Source organism: Homo sapiens, chromosome 18 (assembly GCF_000001405.40).
Source record: "Homo sapiens chromosome 18, GRCh38.p14 Primary Assembly".
NCBI lineage: Eukaryota > Metazoa > Chordata > Mammalia > Primates > Hominidae > Homo > Homo sapiens.
In genome coordinates, this window is record NC_000018.10 from 619,817 (window position 1) to 645,285 (window position 25,469).

General features: G+C 41.1%; 1 protein-coding gene and 1 long non-coding RNA gene across 15 annotated transcripts in view, besides 1 other annotated feature; one reads left to right on the forward strand and one right to left on the reverse strand.

Moving 5' to 3' along the window:
• CLUL1 (clusterin like 1) overlaps positions 1-25,469 on the forward strand; it is a 53,195-nt gene that overhangs the window by 22,829 nt on the left and 4,897 nt on the right. For all 12 annotated transcript variants that reach the window (NM_001393346.1, NM_001393345.1, NM_001393347.1 and 9 more), the window contains 5 exons: positions 5,049-5,216; positions 7,281-7,713; positions 13,482-13,619; positions 21,511-21,725; positions 25,094-25,281. In NM_001393346.1, the coding sequence (NP_001380275.1) occupies positions 5,049-5,216; positions 7,281-7,713; positions 13,482-13,619; positions 21,511-21,725; positions 25,094-25,281 (1,142 nt within the window). The remainder of the gene's footprint in view (positions 1-5,048; positions 5,217-7,280; positions 7,714-13,481; positions 13,620-21,510; positions 21,726-25,093; positions 25,282-25,469) is intronic.
• LOC105371952 (uncharacterized) lies at positions 836-25,098 on the reverse strand. 3 transcript variants are annotated; one of them, XR_935082.4, is made up of 7 exons: positions 22,093-25,098; positions 21,459-21,891; positions 15,587-15,672; positions 12,837-12,890; positions 11,415-11,509; positions 4,704-4,930; positions 836-4,391 (listed from the first exon to the last, which is right to left on the reverse strand). It is a non-coding gene; the product is annotated as an uncharacterized LOC105371952 (long non-coding RNA). The 3 variants fall into 3 exon arrangements; XR_007066265.1 differs by lacking the exon at positions 15,587-15,672 and having other exon boundaries at positions 3,908-4,391; positions 21,459-22,702; XR_007066266.1 differs by lacking the exons at positions 836-4,391; positions 4,704-4,930; positions 22,093-25,098 and adding an exon at positions 10,270-10,659 and having other exon boundaries at positions 21,459-21,539.
• Positions 21,339-22,538: an enhancer, noted in NCBI's record as "MED14-independent group 3 enhancer chr18:641155-642354 (GRCh37/hg19 assembly coordinates)". NCBI's record gives its function as "activates an origin of replication core promoter dependent on BRD2, BRD4, P300/CBP and CDK7 cofactors, and independent of MED14, by STARR-seq in HCT116 cells {active_cell/tissue: HCT116}" and the evidence as "EXISTENCE:reporter gene assay evidence [ECO:0000049][PMID:35650434]".

The window sequence follows — 25,469 nt, forward strand, 5'->3', positions numbered from 1 at the left end:
CTCCTGTCTCAGCCTCCCTAGTAGCTGGGATTACAGGCTCCTACCACCACGCCTGGCTAATTTTTGTATTTTTAGAAGAGACGGGGTTTCACCATGCTGGCCAGGCTGGTCCCGAACTCTGGGGCTCAAGTGATCCACCTGCCTCAGCCTCCCAAAGTGCTGGAATTACAGGCATGGACCACCGTGCCTGGCCCAGAGATTTTTGGTCTCTCATTCCTATGACTAAAAAATTTGTTACCACTCACTCCTAAATATATGCATATTCATTTACTTATGAATTAGATACATGAATTGCTACCATTGATATCTCAAGGCACAATATGTATTTAAGGTGAGATTCATCATTAGCGAGTGTGGATATAAGTCCACATTTCAAATAATCTTCTAGATATTTTGAAACTTTTAGCCGACTTGCCAGATCTGATTAGATCACCATAGTTTTCCCTTGTCACTTGGCCAATAAAGAGCTCATAATGATCAAGTGTCAGCTCTGCCATTTGCTTTTGGTCCGCTTGAGCTTAAATTATTCATTTTTAAAATCTGCCAAGTTTTTTTTTTTTTCAAGAATCTTGTTAAGCCTCCTGTCCATTTAGTGAAGGTTACTTTAGTTAAAACTAGATAATAAAATCCATCAGTCTACCTGAGTTCTCTTACATGGCAACTCATTACAATTGGGTGCATGTGAACAGAGCAAGGGAACTATAGTTGATTCTTCTGGAATGTAGAGGATCCCCTTTTCCCCAAGGTCATCACATACAGTTGGGCACACACAGTATCTGACATATGCATCTCAAGAGAGTACCATGTATATCCAATAATGCATCAGCCTAATCACTTTTTCAAATTCAAATAGCTTTATTTAACAGCTATAGCTTGAATTACATATTTTATCAATGGAGAATACATATTATATTCAAATGTCTTTGGAAGATGTAAAAAATTGTTCATATGCCACAGTATAAAGTTCAGTAAATTTCTAAATTATAGACATTGAATAGCTTGCAGTTTAATGACATTAATAATTAACATCACACTCAAAACAATGACTTTTTTAAAAAAGGTTATCTTCAAACATTACCCTTAAATCAAAGAGGAAATTAAAACTGTAACAAAAATAATTTGGAAAATATTTTCAATTTTAATGTTGAGAGTAAATTACTTTTTAAATTTATTTTTATTTTTTGAAAAATGTTAAGTTGTAAAATACATATAACAAAATTTACCATCATAACCATTTTTAAGTGTAACGTTCAGTAGTGTTAAATACATTCATACTGTTGTGCAACCAATCTCCAGAATTATTTTCATCTTGCAAAAACTGAAAGTCTATACATATTAAACAATGCCCCATTCCCCCCACCCCAGTCAGATTTTTAATTTAAAAATACAAGTGGAAGTTCTAATATTTTCTATCTATCCCTCTATCTATAAAGTTGGGGGCCACTGAATTCCAGATTGCTGCTTACATCTTTTTACTTCTGAGGATCATGGCCTCTGGGAGTCCGTTAAGCAACTGGAGCCGGGTAGTGTGACAGGCTGACCCCAAAGCTGTGTGTCAGCGTCACCGGACTGGTTGATGTTGCAGCCTCACCTACTGCCCTGAGTCAGTCAGGGTTCTGGCAAGGAAAGGAGAATGCCTGACCAGCAGCTGCAAACCCTTCTCCCTTTTGGCAGCAATCAAAAGATTTTGAGGAAATCTAAAATAGCTCCTCATCAGGAAAATGTGGAAGCCCCTCCAGCTGGGATCTTCCCTGGTGGGCTTGTGAGCCTGGCCATCTGGGAATAGAGACACTAGATAGCACTCATACACTCTTCACAAAACACATTATCACATGGAATGTTTTGAACATCTGGGTAAACCACTACTTTCATTTTATAGCTAAGAAAACTGGGGTTTGAGATGTTTGTTAATTAACATGTTACTCCAACACTGTAATGAATGAACTGAGATAAAGTCAGCAGATGTGTGCACGGGGGACCCAGTGATTTTCCGCTTTTCTCACTTCCCTGAACCTCCTGGCAAGGAGGACAGGGTATACAGCTTTAACAAGAATATTCCACTTTGGGTGGGTCAAGTAAGCAAATGTGGATTTCACTTCTGGCCCTGAAGAATCCAAGCAACTAGTAGAATTTTTGTTTATTCTTAAAAATCTTATTGTACAAAAATTCATTGAATTATACTCTTAAGTTTGAGGCACTCAATTAGAAAGTTAATCGGAAAAAAAAAATCTGTTTAACCCTGAGTATCCCTCCCTAAAATTACTTAAAGCCTAGAATAAAGGTCAGTTTAGACAAATTATGAATTGGCAAATATGGTGTTAGCAACCCTAGTCTCCCAGTATTGAGCCCCACCCATTCTCAAGAGTACTGCTCAGTGGTGACCCAGCATCCTCACTGTCCCCTTCCTCCACCCCTCCTTATTAATATTTAGTGAGACTATCTGAAACTTATTAAGTAGGAAACCCTAGAGAAGGTTAGAGTGACTTGACCTCCAAATCAGGTTTTATTTGTATGTGTTTTTAATGAAATGGGGTCTTGCTATGTTGCTCAGGCTGGTCTTGAACTCCTGGGCTCAAGGGATCCTCCTGCCTCACTTCCCGAGTAGCTGGGATCACAGGCACTAGCCACCATGCCTGGCTCAATGCCAGGTTAATATAGCGCTTTTGATAAACTGTCATCTATAGGAATAGAGTTATAAGCGTGAATCTGCCAGTTGGTACAATGTCTAGCAGGAAACGGAAGGCGTCGATAGGATATTCCTTAGGAATGTTTACTAGACAGAGGTCTACTTCTTCCATGGCAATGTTTCACTTCCAAAACTTGGGACCTGTGATTTGGTAACTGTTTTTTGTCCTGCTTCTGGGCAGTGAATGGAAGGAAGCCTGAGAGATACTAGTTATTATACTGGACTAGTTATAATAACAGATGTCTTGCCTATGATAATGGATACTAGGTATAATAATAGATGCCTTGCTTGTTTAGCTCATTTAATGCAAAGACCTTGAGAAGTAGATACTGTTATTCCTATTATTCTTATTTGCAAATGAGGAGACTAAGGCTTATATGTATTAAGTAATTTGCCCAAGGGTACACAGCCACTGTAGTTTGGAATTGGGAATATTAGGATTTTGGCTTATGAGGACAATGAGCAGAATATGTAAAATTGGGACTGATTGAGAAAATCCTGGAGGTATTGTTACTTGCCTTGGAGAAACAACTTTTTTTTTTTTTTTGAGACAGAGTCTTACTCTTGTTGCCCAGGCTAAAGGACAATGGCACGATCTTGGCTCACTGCAACCTCCGCCTCCTGGGTTCAAGCGATTCTCCTGCTTCAGCCTCTGAAGTGGCTGGGATTACAGGCACCCACCATCATGACCAGCTAATTTTTGTATTTCTAGCAGAGACAGGGTTTTACTATGTTGGCCAGGCTGTTCTCAAACTCCTGACATCAGGTGATCCACCCGCCTCAGCCTCCCAAAATGCTGGAATTACAGGTGTGAGCCACTGCACCCTGCCGAAAAACAACCACTTTAAGATGTAAGATTCAGCCAGGTGAGGTGGCTCATGCCTGCAATCCCAGCACTTTGGGAGGTCAACCTGGGCAGATCACTTGAGGCCAGGAGTTCGAGATCAGCCTGGGCAAAATGGTGAAACTCCGTCTCTACTAAACATACAAAAATTAGCCCGGCATGGTGGCACGCACCTGTACTCCCAGCTACTGGGGAGGCTGAGGCAGGAGAATCTCTTAAACCTGGGAGATGGAGGTTGCAGTGAGCTGAGATTGCACCACTGCACTCCAGCCTGGGCGACACAGCCAGACTCTGTCTCAAAAAAAAAAAAAAAAAAAAAAAAAGATGTAAGATTCCAAAATTGTTCTACAAAGTCCAAGGACACACACACACTCCTGTCTGGGTCAAAATGTATATTGGCAAGCTGGGGCCCTGGCAGTTTTCTTACGTGGATCATACCAAATGCTACGTGGCTTAGCAGCCAAACTTTACAATGAGGACAACTGACAAATCCTAGCCAGGCAGAGAAGATGTGGAAGATTGTCAGTGCCCAGGTGATTCTTTGGGCTTAATACTCCAGGAAAGGGTCATTTCCATTAGCTCTGAGGCTGTCTTCTTATGGCCAGATCCACTATACTCACTTCATTCCCCTGCACGATATCTCGGCATGGAGGGGGCTGGGGTTCAGAAGTCCACACTTGCAGGGAAGCCAGAGGTTTGGGCAGGGGCACAGGAAGAAAGGTCTGTTGCACCATGGTGCTGACCCGTGAGGCACTCCAGGGGCAGGGCTGAGGCTCGCAGGGACAGGTGCCACTGCTGCTGGGCTCCTCACCACCCAGAGCAGGACTTGGCCAAGTACAGCAAGCACCACAAGGGGGAGCACTGGGAATATAAACAAGAAGAACAAAGCTTGTTTATATTCCCATTTATATTTATTTAATATTACATTATATATAAATATATTTATTATATTACATTCTAATTGCAGAGATGCCATCCTGCGTCTCGGCAATTACAATGTAACTCAACGGGAACATTTAACTTGACATACAAGAATTGTACTTTCTTGCAATGTTTAAGGATATACAACAATTAAAGACAGCATAAATGAAAGAATTAAAATGTACCAGCTTTATAAACTGTAAAGCCCACTTTCCCCATGCACCAGTGGATGAGAATTGAAGACAGACTTACCGGTAAATAGGTAAATCACAGTTGTTCCCAGATCGGGATGGCATCTTCATTGTCAGGTCACCCACACCTAGAGTAATGTCTGTCACATAGCAAACACTCAGTAAATACTTATTGAACAAATGAATGAACAGATGAATAAGATTTACAGTCTTCAATAGGAATCAATCAGTGCTCTTTTCTTAAACTAAACAGAAAGCTTTGGGGGAGATCTGACAGCTGCGAGGCACCTGAAGGAGAAAGAATGAAAAAGCAGTTTAGAATGTATACATTTCAAAGGGTGAAATCAACTAAGGTGCACATAGATTATGAAATGGAAATTGGACTTTTGTTTCTACTTTTAACTAGGAGGCCCTGAAACTTCTGAATGAAGTTCAAGAACATCTGGAGGAAGAAGAAAGGCTATGCCGGGAGTCTTTGGCAGATTCCTGGGGTGAATGCAGGTCTTGCCTGGAAAATAACTGCATGAGAATTTATACAACCTGCCAACCTAGCTGGTCCTCTGTGAAAAATAAGGTAAGAGAAAAAGAGAGCTCAAGATTTCACAGTTCTTGAGGCACCTATTTCAGCTTACTTTTTTATTAATTTATGTTAATATTTAGAACGGAGATGCCTGATCTGATAGGGGCCTTTTGCTTTCTAGAATCTAATACTAATGTTTACATACCATCACCTGTGTATACGCAATTTATAAGGTAGAGCACCCATTCAGTGGTCACTGAATGCATCTCTTAAAATATCCTGGCTTTCTGCCTTGTATTTGTTATTTGTGAACATGTTCCCACTAGATAGTAAGCTCTTTGAGGGCAGGGATCATATCTTATTTGTCTTCACTTATGCATTGGTGGCATCCAGTAAATGTTTACCAAATTGCATTTGGAATCATAGCATTGCAGTCTCTGATTTCAATCCACATTAATTTTTCCTTCTGGAGGCCAAATATTTAAAGATACTCTCTGCCTCCCAAATCTTACCTTCAACATGCTTGCCTCCTTATGCATAACACACACACACACACACACACACACACACACACACACACACCCCTTCATGTCCCCTTTTGCCCTACCCATGTATGTAGGACTGGCATGTTTTCTTTTTTGTACCCTTTGGTTATCTTCTGAGCAGAGGGATCACAGAGGGTGGTGACCTGAATAGGATGAGCTCTGCCCCACTAACGGCTCCAATTAAGCTAGATTTTTCTCCCCCTTCAAGAAGTGAGCTGAATACAAAATTGAGTGGAATTTCACGCTCCATATTAGAGCACATACTAATTAGGGTATGCTCCTGGCTTGGCAATGCCGTACTCAATTACAAAGGGAGCAACTACTAAGATAATGAATGCGCCAAGTTAATTTGCCTCCACTATTAATTGCATCTGCTCTATTTTTAGAGCTACTGTCGCCTGCTAATACACCAGAATATGGTGTAATCAGCACCAGCAGGAAGTCAGGAGATATGGGGACCATTCCCATCTGGGTCAGTTGTGTGATCTTATGAACATTTCTTGGGGCTTTAAAGGTTTGTTTTTGTGGATGAAGAGTCAAGTAAACAGAAGCTGGTAGAGGGAGAGGCAGACAATCCACCCAAATTCTTTTCTTTATTTTTTTTCATGAGACAGGGTCTGGCTCTTTTGCCCTGGCTAGAGGGCAGTGGTGCCATCTTGGCTTACTGCAGCCTCCACCTCCTGGGTTCAAGTGATTCTCCTGCCTCAGCCTCCTGAGTAGCTGGGATTACAGGCGCCCACCACCACGCCTAGCTAATTTTTGTATTTTTAGTAGAGACAGGGTTTTACCATGTTGGCCAGGCTGGTGACCTCAGGTGATCCACACACCTTGGCCTCCCAAAGTGAAAACTTGACCTTTTTAGGCTATTGGTGGGCAATGTAAACCAGGAGAAATTTCAGATCCTGTTTCCATAGGCAAAGGCAAAGTCAGGTATAAGAGGGTTAAGAAATTATCTTAAAGTTAATTGCCTCATACTAGCTTGCCCAGAATTATTCTTGATTTGAAATGACTACTGTAAGTTGACTTTAAAATTTGCAATAAGAAATGGTCCAGGGCCGGGTGCAGTGGCTCACCCCTGTTATCCTAGCACTTTGGGAGGCCAAGGCATGTGGATTACCTGAGCTCAGGAGTTCGAGACCAGCCTGGGCAACACGGTAAAACCCTGTCTGTACTAAAATACAAAAAAAATTAGCCAGGCATGGCGGTGTGCAACTGTAATCCCAGCTACTCGGAAGGCTGAGACAGAAGAATCACTTGAACCCAGGAGGCGGAGGTTGCAGTGAGCCGAGATGGTGCCATTGCACTCCAGCCTGAGTGACAGAGCAAGACTCCATCTCAAATAAGAAAGAAAGAAAGAAAGAAAGAAAGAAAGAAAGAAAGAAAGAAAGAAAGAAAGAAAGAAAGAAGGAAAGAAGGAAAGAAGGAAGGAAGGAAGGAAGGAAGGAAGGAAGGAAGGAAGGAAGGAAGGAAGGAAGGAAGGAAGGAAAGAAAGAAAGAAAGAAAGAAAAGAAAGAAAGAGTCGAGAAAGAAAATAATTTTTTATTCCATTTCTGTCCCCTACTCTACTCCACAGATTGAACGGTTTTTCAGGAAGATATATCAATTTCTATTTCCTTTCCATGAAGATAATGAAAAAGATCTCCCCATCAGTGAAAAGCTCATTGAGGAAGATGCACAATTGACCCAAATGGAGGATGTGTTCAGCCAGTTGACTGTGGATGTGAATTCTCTCTTTAACAGGAGTTTTAACGTCTTCAGACAGATGCAGCAAGAGTTTGACCAGACTTTTCAATCACATTTCATATCAGATACAGACCTAACTGAGCCTTACTTTTTTCCAGCTTTCTCTAAAGAGCCGATGACAAAAGCAGATCTTGAGCAATGTTGGGACATTCCCAACTTCTTCCAGCTGTTTTGTAATTTCAGTGTCTCTATTTATGAAAGTGTCAGTGAAACAATTACTAAGATGCTGAAGGCAATAGAAGATTTACCAAAACAAGACAAAGGCAAGTATTAAAAGATTACTTTTACTTAGAGGTTTACACTAAAGTCAAGTTTTGTTTAGCTTCAGAAATGGTAGACATTTCTGAGTCACATTGTATAGCATTTCTTGAAGAGACAATTTATGGAAAATGTTTCAGAGCCTCTTAAAAGAAGCTTTGAAGTCTGCTAAACACCATCCCTCTTCCATCATCGTTGAGAACTGAACTCTTTCTAGAGCAAATTTTCAAAGCAGAAAGAAAAAATGCTAATAGGTTGAGAACTTGAAAAAAAAAAACCAGTTCCCTCATTTATTATTTCTTTATTTATTTTATTTTGTGACGGAGTCTCACTCTGCCACCCAGCCTGGAGTACAGTGGTGTGATCTTGGCTCACTGCAACCTCTGCCTCCCAGGTTCAAGCAATTCTCCTGCCTCAGCCTCCCAAGTAGCTGGGACTACAGTTGTGCACCACCACGCCCAGCTAATTTTTTTGTATTTTTAGTAGAGACGGGGGTGTCAGTATCTTGGCCAAGCTGGTCTCAAACTCCCGACCTCAGGTGATCCACCCGCCTTGGCCTCCCAAAGTGCTGGGATTGCAGGCGTGAGCCACCATGCATGGCCATTTCCCTCATTTATTAAAGCTCATGTAGATGCTCAGCTCTATTCTGCTAAAGCATCAGAGAGCTTCTTTAAAATTGATCTGGAATCCTCAACTCCCAGTTTGAGAAGCCCACTCTCACATATAACCAGAGCAATTTAGTGCCCTCCTCTGAATCACTACAATCATTCCTTAAATCATAAAATGTATGCATAAAACCACAAAAAATGCTCATAAACCCCAAACTACAGAAATATTAGATAAGAATTGCCTTCTACCAACACTAATCATGCCTCATGGCATCCATGTTGGAGACACAATGCTGCTTTATGTTTTAAGGCGGCAGATATCTTCTGTGGGCTTCTATGGAGTAAGTTAGATACCGCATTCGAGAATGAGAATTGCCACGAGGGTCAAGTGTAGGATCTGCATTTCCTTTGTCACTGTATTGACCCCTAAGCCAGGTTGAAGGCTGCTCCCCTCTGAGATGAAAAATAAAATGGGCTCCTTCTATCTATTTTTCTTTTTCTTTTTTCTTTTTTTTTTTTTTTGAGATGGAGTGTTGCTCTGTTGTCCAGGCTGTATTGGTGTGATCTCGGCTCACTGCAACCTCTGCCTCCTGGGTTCAATCAATTCTCCTGCCTCAGCTTCCCGAGTAGTGGGGATTACAGGTGCCCGCCACCACGCCTGGCTAATTTTTGTATTTTTAGTAGAGACAGGGGTTTCACCATGTTGGCCAGGCTGGTCTCGAACTCCTGACCTCAAGTGATCTGCTCACCTTGGCTTCCCAAAGTGCTGGAATTACAAGCATGAGCCACCACACCCAGCCAGCCACCACACCCAGCCAGCCACCACTCCTGACCCTATCTGACTATTTTTCAATTATATTAGCTGTAGCTGGCAACATCTGAATCAGATTCTCAAAATCGCCATGACATTACATAACTGGCCTCTACATAGGAGAGGTTTACCTTTCAGAAACTGAAGCTAGGAAACAGTGCATTACATCCTTCAGGTGCCATCGTTCCATGAACAGAGAACAGCCATCATTACTGGAATTGTTGGGTTCTATTTCAGAGTCCAGTGGACTTTTTTTATAAGTCAATTATTTGGTCTGGTAGTCCATTCTGAGGTTCCAAATTCATCAAATATTCAGGATAAACACCAGGCGAGTAGACTAAATCTATCCAGGCTGGGTGGTATTAAGTGATTTTAGCCTGACTGTTTACATGGATATCAACTGTCTTGGAATAACACTGAGAATATGTTCATTAGAACAAAAGGGCTCCTCCCCTCCATGTTGTGTAGCAGCCTTACACAAGCATTGGTTACATTCCCATGTGCACAGGACTGTCAGTAGTGATTCAGACATGCCACAATCTAGATAATTTTTCAACCACTGTAACCCCCTCCCACACACCAGCTACGAACATAGGTTTCCACTGTCTGCCACCATTGCCTTCTCATTCACACAGCTGGGGGCCAGCCCTACTCTCAGCTGCCTCACACGCACCCTCCCCAGCCCCTCTGCGCCACTTCCATCTCAGTGATGACCTGGAAAGCCAAGGTCCCCTGTGAATGCAAATAGTAAAGACAAAAACAAAATAGCAACCAAAAAAGTCTGTGTTACACTATTGTACTCTTCTTTCTCCAGTATCCCTCCCCTAGCCAGACAGTACACAGAAGCTACCGCAGAGGAGACACTGTCTTCCCAGATGAGCAAATGTGGACTGTTTATCAAGAATAGTCAGGCAGGCGCTCTACAGCACTTGAATGTGGTTTCCATCACTTTTCTGGACAGGTAGTTGGTGAGGAATAAGCCTACTGCCCCTAGAAAATCTGCCTAATGACTTGACACTTTGAGTTTTGCCCCTTGTGGTAGGCAAAATAATGACTGCCCAAAATATCCCCACCCTAATCCCCAGAACCTGTGAATTTATGTTATGTGGCAAAGGGAAAGTAAGGATGCAGATGGAAATCAATTTGTTAATCAACTGACTTTATTTTTATTTATTTATTTTTTGAGACAGAGCCTTGCTCTGTCACCCAGGCTGGAGTGCAGTGGAATGATCTTGGCTCACTGCAACCTCCACCTCCGGGGTTTAAGTGATTCTCCTGCCTCAGCCTCCCGAGTAGCTGGGATTACAGGCACTCACCACCATACCTGGCTAATTTTTGTATTTTGAGTAGAGGCAGGGTTTCGCCATGTTGTCCAGGCTGGTCTCGAACTTCTGACCTCAAATGATCCGCCCACCTCGGCCTCCCAAAGTGCTGGGATTACAGGCATGAGCCATCATGCCCGGCCTCAACTGATTTTAAAATAGAGAGAGTATGCTGGATTATCCAGATGGATTCAATGTAATCACAGGGTCCTTAAAAGTGGAAGAAGGAGGCAGAAAAGAATTAATAGTAGCAGCCACAAGAGAAGGACTTGGCTCGACTTTGACGACCTTGAAGACAGAGGAAGGGGCCAGGAGCCGAGTAATGTAGGTGGCCTCGAGGAACTGGAAATGGTATAGAAATGAATTCTCCTCTAGAGCCTCCGCAAAAAACTAGCCCTACTGACATCTTTTTTTTTTTTTTTTTTTTTTTTTTTTTTTTTGAGACAGAGTCTCGCTCTGTCTTCAGGCTGGAGTGCAGTGGTGCGATCTTGGCTCAGTACAACCTCCGCCTCCTAGGTTCAAGCGATTCTCCTGCCTCAGCCACCTGAGTAGCTGGGACTACAGGCACGTGCCACCACGCCCAGCTAATTTTTGCATTTTTTTTTTTTTGAGACAGATGACATCTTGATTTTAGCCTAGGGAGACCCACTTCAGACTTCTGACCTAAAAGACCAAACAATAATGAATTTGTGCTGTTTCAAGCCACTGAATCTGTGGTAGCTGTAGCAGAGCTAATAATAATAGTAACTGACCAACATTTACTGAGCAAGTTCCGTGTGGCAACCTTCATGGATGGGCCTTATTGGTCATGATTGTTTAAAGGGCCAAAATTAGAAAAATAGCTAACACTGAATTATGAACACCAGGAAAAGGAGAGCGGAAATAAAAAGAATCAGAAATATCTTGATAATTAATGCTATTTTTGTTGAGTATAGGTTCATTTTGTTCTCATATTTCTTTCCTACCTTGGTCTTTCTGGACCTCAGTTCCTGAATCTGTTGAAAGCGAATAGGTCCAGGAAAGTAGCTCTTGGAATTATCTTCATTTGCCTTATGAATCCCTGGAAGGAACAGATGAGATTGAGTTCTACTGTAGCTTGACCCGTGCGGGGGCCGGGAGACCTGGTTCTAATGCTGCCTTAGAGAGTGTTAGTTAACATTAATTTTCGCGTGGGAGAAACAGACAGGCAGGTGGGAGAGTAGATGATTTAGCTCAGTGACTGCACTGGAAGTAGCTCCCTGGAAGGGTTCTGAGGTTCTGTCAAGGCTAGACTAAGCGAGGTGATGGATTGTGCTGTGGCTGCAGGATGGGGAATTAGTGTCATATGGGCCTAGAATTTGTCATCCTTGGTGTACATACCAGGTATTAATCTAGATGCTAGAGATAAAATGATGATTATGACACAGCCTCTGACTTCCAGGAGCTCAGTCCAGAGAAAGGAAAACAGATTAGTGAACAATTACATCACCATATTGTGGGTAAAATGGCAGAAGAAGGTATGGAAGAATGACAAGATTAAAATGGCAAGACCAAGTCCCTTCCCTCAAGAGGCTTACAGTCTAATGGAAAAGATAAGAAAGCAAACACTACATAAAGCAGGAATTAATTCTACACTGGAAATTCTCACAGGGGGCTATACAGGGCAAAGAAGAGGGTCCAGGAAAGCAGCTGGGAGAAACTGACTTTCTGGTCACCAAAGGGGATGGGTGCCTTACATGCCATTCTATCGAACAGTGCTTCACTGTTTTTAAACTATGGACTTTGCAATTTATCTCAAAATAAAACGTTTCATTTTTAAATGCTGAGGATTTAATATGACAGAAAATCATCAGGTTGTAAATTAGTAATACATGTTTCCTAATGTCAAACACTCTATTGGGAACCGCCAATTTTCTGTTGGATAGACTTCTCTTTTACACATTTTTATATGGATTGTTAATTCTCCTAGGGGAAAAAACTTCTCAAAACTTGATTGGCTTTAGATATTTTCCTAAATCTTTGACCCCCTGTTCATAACAGTATATGCATCTCCACACACACATACTCGCACACATATGTGTGTATATATATGTGTGTGTGTGTGTGTGTGTATATATACATATATATGAGAAATGCAAAAAAAGAATAGTAATAAAATAACCACCTATCACCCACTTTAAGAAACAGACATTTCTAATATCTTTGAAACTTCTTCCCAATTATAGCTTTAAAAATTAATTATTAAAGAGTTTTTTAAAATACAGAAAAGTCCAAGAGAAAAAGTGGTTCACAATCACCTATTTACTTAATCCTATTGACATCAGAAATACTAATGATATAAGACAAATGATTTTTAAAGTAATCAAATATATAAAAGAACAAAATAAATGAAAGCTGCCCTCTCCTACCTTATCAACTCCCTCTTCTAAAAGATAGTTATTAATAATTCTTCATGACTCCTCCTAGAAAATAAAATTACATGCATTAATATATGTGTGTATATACTACTAATAAATTTCTAGTAATGAGATTCTTGGATTCAAGAGTGTGCAATTTTTAATAGCTGTTCAGTTGTCCCAGGAAATTATTGCACCAACGTGCATTTCTGTGTCTAAATATAGGAAAAAGGGCCAGGGGCGGTGGCTCATGCCTGTAATCCCAGCACTTTGGGAGGCCGAGGCGGGTGGATCATTTGAGGTCAGGAGTTCAAGAAACCGGCCTGGACAACATGGCGCAACCCCATCTCTACTAAAAGTACAAAGATTAGCTGGGCTTGGTGGCTCTCACCTGTAATCCCAGCTACTTGGGAGCCTGAGGCAGGAGAATCACTTGAACCCGGGAGGCAGAGGTTGCAGTGAGCCAAGATCCCGCCACTGCACTTTAGCCTGGGCAACAAGCAAGACTCTGTCTCAAAAATAAATAAATTAAATACATACATACATATAGGAAAAAGATTTTGAAAGCACTGGTAAGAAAAAGCTGCGGCATTGTCTCCACTTCTTCAAAGTGCAAACTCTTATGACACTAACGTGTAAATGTTATGTTCCCTGTAGCTCCTGACCACGGAGGCCTGATTTCAAAGATGTTACCTGGGCAGGACAGAGGACTGTGTGGGGAACTTGACCAGAATTTGTCAAGATGTTTCAAATTTCATGAAAAATGCCAAAAATGTCAGGCTCACCTATCTGAAGGTAAATAATTGCTATTTTGTTTTTTATTCTACTTTAAGTTCTCAGGTACATTTTGTTATAAAGTTTCGGTGCCACAAAAGAAATAGCACTCGAATATAAAATTTTCTTTTTAATTCTCAGCAAGGAAAGTTACTTCTATAGAAGGGTGCGCCCTTACAGATGGAGCAATGGTGAGCGTGCACTTGCCAAGGGAGGGGAAGGGGTTCTTAACCCTGACAACGCACGTGGCCCCTGCTGCTGTGTGGTTCCCCTATTGGCTAGGGTTAGACCGCACAGGCTAGACTAATTCCCATTGGCTAATTTAAAGAGAGTGACGAGGTGAGTGGTCTGGAGGGAAAAATGGTTATGACAGAGCATGTAATCGGAATGAATCAGGGCGGAGCGTGTAATCGGAATGAATCAGGGCGGAGCGTGTAATCGGAATGAATCAGGGTGGAGCGTGTAATCGAAAAAGGTTGCTTTACGAGGAAATTAAGTTTAAAAGTAGAAGGCAAAGAATTGAACATACTGACATACTGATTCTTTGGAAAGAAATTTAGAACTCACATCTAACAATTTTTTAGGGTTTCTTTAGTATTCTGGACAGAGGACAAAATCTCATTCTCACAAGCATAGTGGATTCATTTGCTTTCCTCCAAGCACTTTTTTGCAGGCTCATTTCCATCTGGGGGCGTTCAATGTAGGTTTATAAACTGGTGTTTTGTTTGTTTGTTTTATGAGACAGAGTCTTGCTCTGTTGCCCAGGCTGGAGTGGCACAATCTCGGCTCACTGCAACCTCCACCTCTCGGGTTCAAGCAATTCTCCTGCCTCAGCCTGCCAAGTAGCTGGGATTACAGGCATGTGCCACCACGCCCGGCTAATTTTTTTTGTATTTTTAGTAGGGACGAGGGTTTCACCATATTGGCCAGGCTGGTCTCGAACTCCTGACCTTGTGATCCGCCCACCTCGGCCTCCCAAAGTGCTGGGATTACAGGCATGAACCACCGTGCCTGGCCTGGTTTATAAACTTTTATTATTCCAAAGTATGTCATTCTTTCACTTTCTTTAATTCCCTAATTGTTCTTGTGATTTTTTTTATGATTAATGACCAAACACTATTGTGTGCAAAAGAAAAACCTTGAGCAAATTAGCGCAACTCCTTCCTTCTTACCGCAAGCAAAAAGAACCCCTGCCCCCAACCATGAAAGAAACCTTTCATTCTGTAAATCAGTGTTTAGACAAGTGAAATATTTTTTTGAAAGTGGCATTGGCTCTTTCCCATTGGTGGGTTAATGAACTAATTAGCATTTAAATAGGGAAAGTGGCTTCTCCTCCCAAGCCCCAGGAATCCTTTTCCCTCCCTTTCTAGTTCCTTCCCCAGGAAGGAAATCATTCTCCCTTTCCTCCATCCCTCCCCTCATTCCCTTTCCCTTCTCCAGACTAAAGTCACTCCTCCAACCCCACCAGGGCCAAATTACAACTTTTCTTACATAAAACAAGAGCTTTTGATTCCTATGCTTCTGCATTTTATCTCACTAAAGCCCTAAGGGAAGGAAATTTTCAAAGTGTGACTAATGGCTTACAGTAGGAAATTGGAAGATACAGAAGGGACAGAAATCAACATGTCAGTAAATTCTACAACACTAGCTAGAGATTTGGGGCAAGTCATTTATGCTGTCTAGGCCTCAGTTGAGTAATTTGTAAATAAAGGACCCAAGATAATCTTTGGGTTCTAACAAAATTCTTCTGTAAAACAGTGGTCCCCAGCCTTCTGGCACCAGGGACTAGATTCCTGGAAGACAATTTTTCCAAAGATGGTGGGGCAGGGGGCACGTTTGGGGATGATCATCAGGCATTATTCTCCTAAGGAGCGCTCAACCTAGACCCTTTGCATGCACAGTTCACAATAGGGTTTGTGCTCCCGTGAGAATGGAATGCCTCCGCTGATCTGACAGCAGGCGGGGCTCAGGCAGTCATGCTTGCTCACCTGCCGCTCACCTCCTGCTGTACAGCTCCGTTCCTAAGAGGCTACAGGCTGATATGGGTCCGTGGCCCAGGGGTTGGGGACCCCTGCTATAAAGGAAGTTCAGAAAAATCAGATTATAATTCTGATTTTTATAAATCAGAATTTATAAAATTCAGATTATAATTTACTACCAAGTAATAGCTCTTTTGCCCTTAACTTCCCACAGTGAAGACCACTGGAGTAATTTATATCAACGCAAAGAACAAAAAGCATGGTCAGTGGAAACTCCTGCCCCTCCCTTGGCTTTCTCTCCTCAATCTAACAGTGAGCAAGTTGCAACAAATCGCGCCGTTCAGAGAAAAGGGAGGATGGAATTGTTACAACCGTTTCTGTCGCCCAGGCTGGAGTGCAGTGGCGCGATCTTCGCTCACTGAAACCTCTACCTCCTGAGTTCAAGCGATTCTGCTGCCTCAGCCTCCTGAGTAGCTGGGATTACAGGCACGCGCCACCATACCTGGCTGATTTTTGTATTTTTAGTAGAGATGGGGTTTCACCATATTGGCCAGGCTGGTCTCGAACTCCTGACCTCGTGATCCTCCCACCTCAGCCTCCCAAAGCGCTGGGATTACAGGTGTGAGCCATCGCGCCTGGCCAACAAATTGTTACAATGTTAAACAACATAATATCCTAAACATATTGGCTTTTAAAGTATCATTAGATACACCACAATACTAATAAAGGTTACCTTTGGGTTTTAAGATTAAAGATGATTTTTAAAAATACTTCTTTCTGTATTTTCCAAACTCTTAACCATAAACATAAGATATTCCTTGACTTAGGATAGGATTATGTCACAACCCATCATAAGTTTGAAAAATCATAAGTTGAACCATTGTAAATTGGGGACCATATGTACATGTATGCATATATGATATTAAAAATTATTAGACGTCTTTAAAATTTGACTTTTTAACATATTACTTTTATTTAATCACCTTGCTCAAGGAGCCTGTAAATTACATATTAATATTCTCCATTATGAAATGTCTTTCCATTGTGCAAATTAATGCATTGCAGAGGTTCTAAACATCTATATGCTTTGCAACTCGAAAGGAGTAAGTTTCCCTTTCTAATTTTTTTATTCAATTAAATAAAAAAATGAGTTTAATAGAGTCTATTAAATTAGATCATTATTCGAGTGGTTAGTAAACCTGTTTAGAGTCGACAACACTCCCTTTCTCTCTTTTTTTTTTTTTTTTTTTGTGCCAGAGTCTCGCTCTGTCGCCGAGGCTGGAGTGCAATGGCACGATCTCGGCTCACTGCAACCTCCACTTCCCAGGTTCAAGTGATTCTCCTGCCTCAGCCTCTCGAGTAGCTGGGATTACAGGCAACCGCCACCATGCCCAGCTACTTTGTTGTATTTTTAGTAGAGATGGGGTTTCACCATGTTGGTTAGGCTGGTGGCGAACTCCTGACCTCAAGTGATTTGCCTGCCTCTGCCTCCCAAAGTGCTGGGATTACAGGCGTGAGCCACCATGCCCAGCCCCTTTCTCCTTTTTAAATATCACCAGCCTGGGTTCTTTGTTTTTTTTGTTTTGTTTTGTTTTTGTTTTTGTTTTTTTTGAGACGGAGTCTTGCTCCGTCGCCCAGGCTGGAGGGCAGTGGCACAATCTTGGCTCAGTGCAACCTCCGCCTTCTGGGTTCATGCCATTCTCCTGCCTCAGCCTCCTGAGTAGCTGGGACTACAGGCGCCCGCCACCATGCCCGGCTAAATTTTTGTATTTTTAGTAGAGACGGGGTTTCACCGTGTTAGCCAGGATGGTCTCGATCTCCTGACCTTGTGATCCACCTGCCTCGGCCTCCCAAAGTCCTGGGATTACAGGCTTGAGCCACCATCCCTGGCCTCCAGCCTGGGTTCTTATTGACACTGAATTCTCAAGTTAGTTGGGCTAGTGAGGAAGTCAGGTTACACGGGCCACAGAACAAGAACAAGGATTGTTCTTTCTCTCTCTCTTCCACTTCATTCTCTGTCAGCCTCTCCCGACCTCAGTAGTTGGTCTTTTCTCCCCCTTCTTTTGAAAGCAGAGTCCATTATACAAATGGACTTGTTTACTTCTCCACATCCCTCTTGTGCAAATTTTCTGCCATGGACACCTCTACCCCACCTTAGAATGTATATTAGACAATTTTGACATCTAGAATGTCTTGTTGGGCAGAAAAGCGTTTGGAAAGCGTTGCTCCAGGTAGCTCTGATTACAAACTGGACCTTTTCGCGGGGTTACCTAGAGCAGTTGAGAGTGCTCTTTCTCCTGGCCAGGTGCAGTTGCTCATGGCTGTAATCCCAGCACTCTGGAAGGCCGAGGCGGGCGGATCACCTGCGGTCAGGAGTTTGAGACCAGCCTGGCCAACATGGCGAAACCCCGTTCTACTAAAAATACAAAAATTAGCCAGATATGGTGGTATGAACCTGTAATCCCAGCTACTCAGGAGGCTGAGGCAAGAGAATTGCTTGAACCTGGGAGGCAGAGGTTGCAGTGAGCTGAGATCAAGCCTCCAGCCTGGGCCTCAGAGCGAGACTCTGTCTTGAAAAAATAATAATAATAATAAACAGATAAATAAAATTTAAAAAAATAAAAAAGGAGTGCTCTCTCTCCTGAACTGCTGACTCGAGGACTCTCTCAGCCTGTTTTATCATTTGGAAGAGGAAATAATATATCTGCTTCGTACACATCTTTAGAAGTTTAAATAAAATGTCTGAAATATCAATGATTCTCATTATTCAAATATTTGTTTTTTAAGTCACAGTTGCAAGGTTATATACAGAAGCATAGGTTTTTATAACAGAAAAATAGACACTTAATATACTGACCTCTTACAAAAATAGTCCTGCTCAAGCATCCCATCTATGTATCATTAACATCTATTTCTTTCTACCCAGCTAAAATAGTTTATTAATAATCCTTGAATGTCACAAGATAATACAGAATAAATCAGATAATACATTAAAATGCACCTGATAATCAATATGCACCAGATAATGGACACAGTATACATCAGATAATACAGTACAAATTCAATGAAAGTTTAGTGTTGCAAAGGTAAAATGTAAAGAATGTCCTAATGTGCTCCCATGCTGCTTAAAACTGTTATTATAAATTGCTTTTTATTATAAATATATAAAGAATGATGTAATAGGCCAGCCATGGTGGCTCATCCCTGTAATTCCAGGTCTTTGGGAGGCTGAGGCAGGTGAATCACTTGAGGTTAGGAGTTTGAGACCAGCCTGGCCAACATGGTGAAACCCCGTCTCTACTAAAAATATAAAAATTAGCCAGGTGTGGTGGTACGCACCTGTAGTCTCAGCTACTCCGGAGGCTGAGGCAGGAGAATCGCTTGAAACCAGAAGCCGGAGGTTGCAGTGGGTCAAGATCAAGCAACTGCACTCCAGCCTAGGTGACAGAGCGAGACTTTGTCTCAGGAAAAAAAAAAAATTCTCAGTCACCTAGATTGAGAAATAGAACATTACCAAAACAGATAAAGCCCCACTGTGTTCCCATCCACATCACATTCACTTTATCTCCTCAAAAGGAAAGTGCTATTTTGAATTTAGTATTAATTATTTCCTTGCATTTCTTCCTACTCATATCATGTGCCTATATACATATAATATATACAAATGCCGATATCATACATAGCAATGTTTTACATTTCGATTTTTGCATTGTCAATGTAGAATTTTTAAACTTAAAAACATGCTTCATACAGCCGGGTGTGGTGGCTCATGCCTGTAATCCCAGCATTTTGGGAGGCCAAGGCAGGCGGATCACGAGGTCAGGAGTTCGAGACCAGCCTGACCAACATGGTGAAACCCCATCTCTATTAAAAATACAAAAAAAAATATTAGCTGGTCATGGTGGCGCGTGCCTGTAATCCCAGCTACTCAGGAGGCTGAGGCAGGAGAATTGTTTGAACCCAGGAGGCAGAGGTTGCAGTGAGCCGAGATCGCACCATTGCACTCCAGCCTGGGTGACAGAGCGAGACTCCATCTCAAAAAAAAAAAAAAAAAAAAAGCTTCATACAAACATGAAACGGGCACATGTCTGGCTGGGTGCGGTGGCTCATGCCTGTAATCCCAGCACTTTGGGAGGCCAAGGCGGGCAATCACTTAAGGCCAGGAGTTCGAGACCAGCCTGGTCAGCATGGTGAAACCCCGTCTCTACTAAAACTACAAAAATTAGCCAGGCATGGTGGCATGCGCCTGTAGTCCCAGCTACTCGGGAGGCTGAGGCACAAGTATCACTTGATCCCAGGAAGCAGAGGTTGCAGTGAGCCAAGATTGTGTCACTGCACTCCTGCCTGGGTAACAGAGTGATACTCTGTCTCAAACAAACAAACAAAAAAAACAAAGAAAAGAAAAAGAAAAAAGAAATGGGCACATGTCAAATGTTAATTTGACTATGTAACTTATTAATGAAGGAACCAGCAGGGTGTTAGAGCTGGGTCAAAGAAGTATAAGAGAGACTGGAGTGCTTACAGTCAAGCAGAGACAGAATGCTGAAAGGTTATGAAATTAGATATGTTAGTTAATATTCGAAAGGGCAACTAAACTGTAAATCTTGCCATTATCTTTTCTATCAGACCAAAATAATTTACATCTCTACTAGACAAACATTTGCCACTTTTCAATCCATAATCTATGGGTAATTTCATGGAGTCTGGCCCTAATCAACAGTAAATAGTAAAGCCAACAAAGGATCTCTTCCCTAGACCTTGAAGTGATCTTTGGGTGGACCCCTTAGACAATAATTTAGTATGACATTGAGAGGACACGCAAGCCTGGGCAGCATAGTGAGACCCGCCTCTACAAAAAAATTAAAAATTAGCCGGGCATGGTGGTGTGAGCCTGTAGTCCTAGCTACTCAGGAGGCTAAGGTGGAAATACCACTTGAGCCCAGGAGTTCGAGGCTGTAGTGAGCTATGATCATGCCATTGCACTCCAGCCTGGGTAACAGAGCGAGAACCTGTCTTGAAAAAAAAGAAAAGAAAAAAGAAAAAGAAACAAAAGGAAATGCAGCCATTTTTTTTTTGCCTTATTTCCAAGTTCTGGATAATTTTTCTTTTTTAACAATATAAATATTATCACTTATGTATTCTTTTGCAATATGGCTTTTCACTCAGTGTAGTTTGCAAGGGTTAGCCATGTGAATGCATGCTGCTCTAGTTCATTAATTCACTGTTGTATGTTGGTCTATGTAGGCATATCACAATTTATTCATTCCCTAGCTGAAGTACATTTGCTTTCAAGGTTTTGCTATTATAAACAAATCTCATACCTTTAATCAAATAATAATTTTGTCTCTTCAATCAGCTTTGATTTACTTTGTTCTAATACTAAGCACACAACTATAATTATAATTTCATTACTGATAAATATAAAATATTTTCCAAAACATCACAAATCTTTTTTTTTTCACTATTTACTATACACTTTTGGTCTTAATTTAAAGCGGCTTCACTATATGTGGTTCTTTTCCTCTTTTCCCATACTAATTACTGGTACTGGACATATACATCCAAAATCAAATAGTAGTGTCCTTTTTAAGGGATAAATGGGATGTGATGTAGAAGGGGCATAGTAGGGACTTCATCTGTTTTGGCAAATTTTTTCTTAATATAGGTGGTAGGCATGTGGAATTTATAACAAAAGTTCTGTCTCCAGCCCAGTTTCTGTTACATAAAACCATATAATTAACAGTTAAACTGGATCTGGTTTGACACAGATGTAGACGATATTAATAATTACTCCAGAACAACAGGCATAACTAAAAACTACCACAGGCAAAAGGGGAAAATAGAGAATGTAAGGGCTGGGACTTAAGCCCATGTTGCCCACCTCCAAGTTTCATGGACTTTTTCCTTCTCCACATTACTTTCTTCTCTGCTAGACTGTCCTGATGTACCTGCTCTGCACACAGAATTAGACGAGGCGATCAGGTTGGTCAATGTATCCAATCAGCAGTATGGCCAGATTCTCCAGATGACCCGGAAGCACTTGGAGGACACCGCCTATCTGGTGGAGAAGATGAGAGGGCAATTTGGCTGGGTGTCTGAACTGGCAAACCAGGCCCCAGAAACAGAGATCATCTTTAATTCAATACAGGTAAAGGAGAGACCCAAGAGCAGATACGGAAATGACACGTGCATACCTTGATTTCACTGTTAATTTACTTATGAATTGTGTCTGAATTTGAAAACAAGCTGTAGGAGGTATTCATATTTCCATTGTGATTGCCTTCAGGCTGACTTGATTTAACGTAGTTCATGGTCTTTAGAAAACAAGAAAGTCCATAAAGAAAATCAATTTAAAACACAAAATACTTTCTAATCTAGAAATGGCTATTTCTGCTTAGAGTTATAGGGCTATAACTGATAGAGGTAACCTTGAAGAAATATGGCCAATGTAGGTTTTAGGAGAGAAGACTTACAAATAAAGCAATTTGAGTTCAAAATTTGACTCTGAAACTTACCAGCTGAGTAAGCTTGGGAAAGTACCTCAACCATTCTAGGCCTCAGTGTTCCACCTGTAAAATGGTAACAATCATAGCTATCTTAACGTGTACACCTATAAAGTGATTAGTATAGATTTCTTATACAAAACAAGAGCTCTGTAAATTATAGCTCTTATTAGTTGCTGACACAATAAAGCCACTGAGTTATCTTGAGAATTAAACATTTATATGTTACTCGTCACATAAAAATACATTGCCAGCTGGGCGCAGTGGCTTATGCCTGTAATCCCAGCACTTTGGGAGGCTGAGGTGGGTGGATCACTTGAGGTCAGGAGTTTGAGACCAGCCTGGCTAATGTGGCGAAACCCCGTCTCTACCAAAAACATAAAAAATTAGCCAAGTGTGATGGCACACACTTGTAATCCCAGCTACTCAGGAGGCTGAGGCAGGAGAATCACTTGAACCCGGAAGGCAGAGGTTGCAGTGAGCTGAGATCGTGCCACTGCACTCCAGCCTGGGCGACAGAAGGAGACTCTGTCTCAAAAAAAACAAAAATAAAAACATATTGCCATCTTAAATTCCACCTATACCATGACTCCCAGATTCAGTCAATAACTTTTTGCATAACATGCAAGTGACTTTTCTTCCTAAGACATCCCCCCTCCAACACACACACATTACCTTAATCTACAAATGCGCCAGGCTAGTGATTCCTGATGAGGCTGGTTTTGAGGGGTTCCCAAAAAGACTTGGATACAAAAATTACTGGGCAGAGCAATTGAAGATGCAATATTCTGTGTGTAGTATGTTAGGTTATGTTGGTGCCCTATCCAGATCCCTGGGGATCCCTTTTACCAGCTCCCACTGGTGCTGGTGCTGCTGCTAACTGCTTATCTCTGAAACTTTCTCCCAAAGATTGCCCTTGGAGCACTTATGCCCCAGAGCTTCCTGCAGGATCAGGCTGAGGCTAACAGTCATCTGAAGCCATATCCTTGCTTAGCTTCTTTCACTTCTCTAGTTTGCTTTCCTCATCCCCTTAAAAGTTGCACCTGAGAGCATTCTTTATAAACCACTTCTGTCAGAATCTCAGGCACTGCTTCTAGGAAATTAGACTTATGGCATTCTATAATCCAGCATTTCCCTCTTTTTTCAAACTACAAAGCTGTGGATCATGCCTGATTTGAGAAATAAGTTTAGAAAGTCACAGCAAGCTCATTAAAAAACAAAATTAAAAACCATACAAAAAATAGAATAGGACAAAGTAGAAAATATTAGCATGCATTGCATTTCATAAGTCATATGCACATCATGGAATTTCATTTCCATTTTGTATGTGTATATGTGTGTAAACATATATACACATATGTAGACATACGTGTGTGTTTTGAATCATGATGTCAAGTGTATTCATTACTGCAGACCACAGTCAAAGGGTTTTGAAAGCCACTGTTCCAATCCCTGCCAGCTCTCTGATTCTATAACTCTATTAGATTACACTTGAGGAAGGTAAAATAATTCAATATATTTGATCATCCTCGCATATATAGACTTTTAGTTTAACGAGGAAAAAGTCTTGTATTGAAGAATAAAACTTGAAGAAAAATTTTAGCAGTGCTTTCAACCTTTAGAAATCTACAGTCAATATTTAGTTGTTTTTACCATTGTCAGTATTTTCTATTCTGTGCTTTGATTTACTTCCATTCTAGTGTCTCTTGAGTAACATAACAGATTTATCTAAAATTCTTTATGCTGATAACAAAGGCACTTCTATATAAAAACCTCCACATAAAATAAAATTATGGTTTTCAATTATACATTTTTATAACAATTATTACCACTTAAGAGCATTTACTGGGTGTCAGGCAATGTTCTAAGAACTTTTTCCATATATCAGATCATTTAATACCCTCAATGACCCTATAAAGGAAGTAGAATTCTTTCCCCAGTTTTTCAAATGAGGCACAGAGGAGGTTAAGCAACTTGTCTGAGCTCACACAGCTAGTAAATGGTAGAACTAGAATTCAAACTCAAGCAGTATTTCTCTAGAATCAGTGAACGTAACCACTTTGCTAAACTGCCTGTGAAGTTACTTTTCTCAAAACAGCTCCTATTTCACCATGTAAAGAAAAGTACAAACCCATAAAATAGCAAGTGCTGAAGAGAAGCCTTATGAAAGAAATATACAAATTCCAGCAAGTGAAAACGGTTGTGGTCCCTGGTTGTATAATAGTTACATGGGTGTTGACTTTACAATTATTTAAACCAAACATAAATACTTTATGCAGTTTTTATGTATGTTATACTCACAGAAAGAGAAGGGAAAAATTTTTAAATCATTCTCTTAAGGTTACATCAAGTTGCGTATCAGTTCAGTTCCATTTAAATGATTCAAATCAAAGTCTGTGCATTTGAGAATTCATTAAGAGAGTAACATACATGTTATTCATTAAGAGTAACATAAATTTTGCATTGATTCTTGCCAAAATCACACCTACAACCATAAATTGTAAATTTCTAGGAAAACTCAGTACAAAACTTGGTGCAATGCAATAAAGTTTGTGGCACAGACAGTAATACTCAGCAAACATCCCACCTCCTCTCTCATATTTTCCAGCTCCCCTTGTGGTTAAACGTTGCCATGTGGCAAGTTCTGGCCAGTGAAGCGTGAGCAAAACTGAAAAGGGTTCTTTGTAGATTGAGACAGTGAAGAGCCTATGTGTGCTCATCTATTCTCTTTTTCTGCTGAGGGCACAAAGAAAGTCCTGAAATCATGTGCTACAGCTATGAGATAATGTGCCTTTGCCTACCAGGCTTCTCAGTGTTTACTGGTGTGGAGCCCTTGTAATGGACACATAACATGAACAAGAAATAAATCTTTGTTGCATGAAGCCCTAGGAATGCCAGGACTAATCTGTTACCTCAGCACAACCCAGCCTATCCTGACTAAGGTGGTATTAAATTACTATTGAATGTGTATTGGGATTTAGTAAACTTCTACTGTATAATCCTTCTTCTGTAGGTAGTTCCAAGGATTCATGAAGGAAATATTTCCAAACAAGATGAAACAATGATGACAGACTTAAGCATTCTGCCTTCCTCTAATTTCACACTCAAGATCCCTCTTGAAGAAAGTGCTGAGAGTTCTAACTTCATTGGCTACGTAGTGGCAAAAGCTCTACAGCATTTTAAGGAACATTTTAAAACCTGGTAAGCAGAGTGCCTGGTTAGGAATGCCTTGTTGACAGGAATAGTTAATTCTCAAAAGGGAAAAACAAAACTTGTTTCCAAATACCTGGAAAACATGTTTAACCTCATTAATAAAGACATGAAAACAAACAAGATGGCATTTTCTGCCTATCAGATTTGCAAATTAAAAAAAAACCCAGGAAATCCTG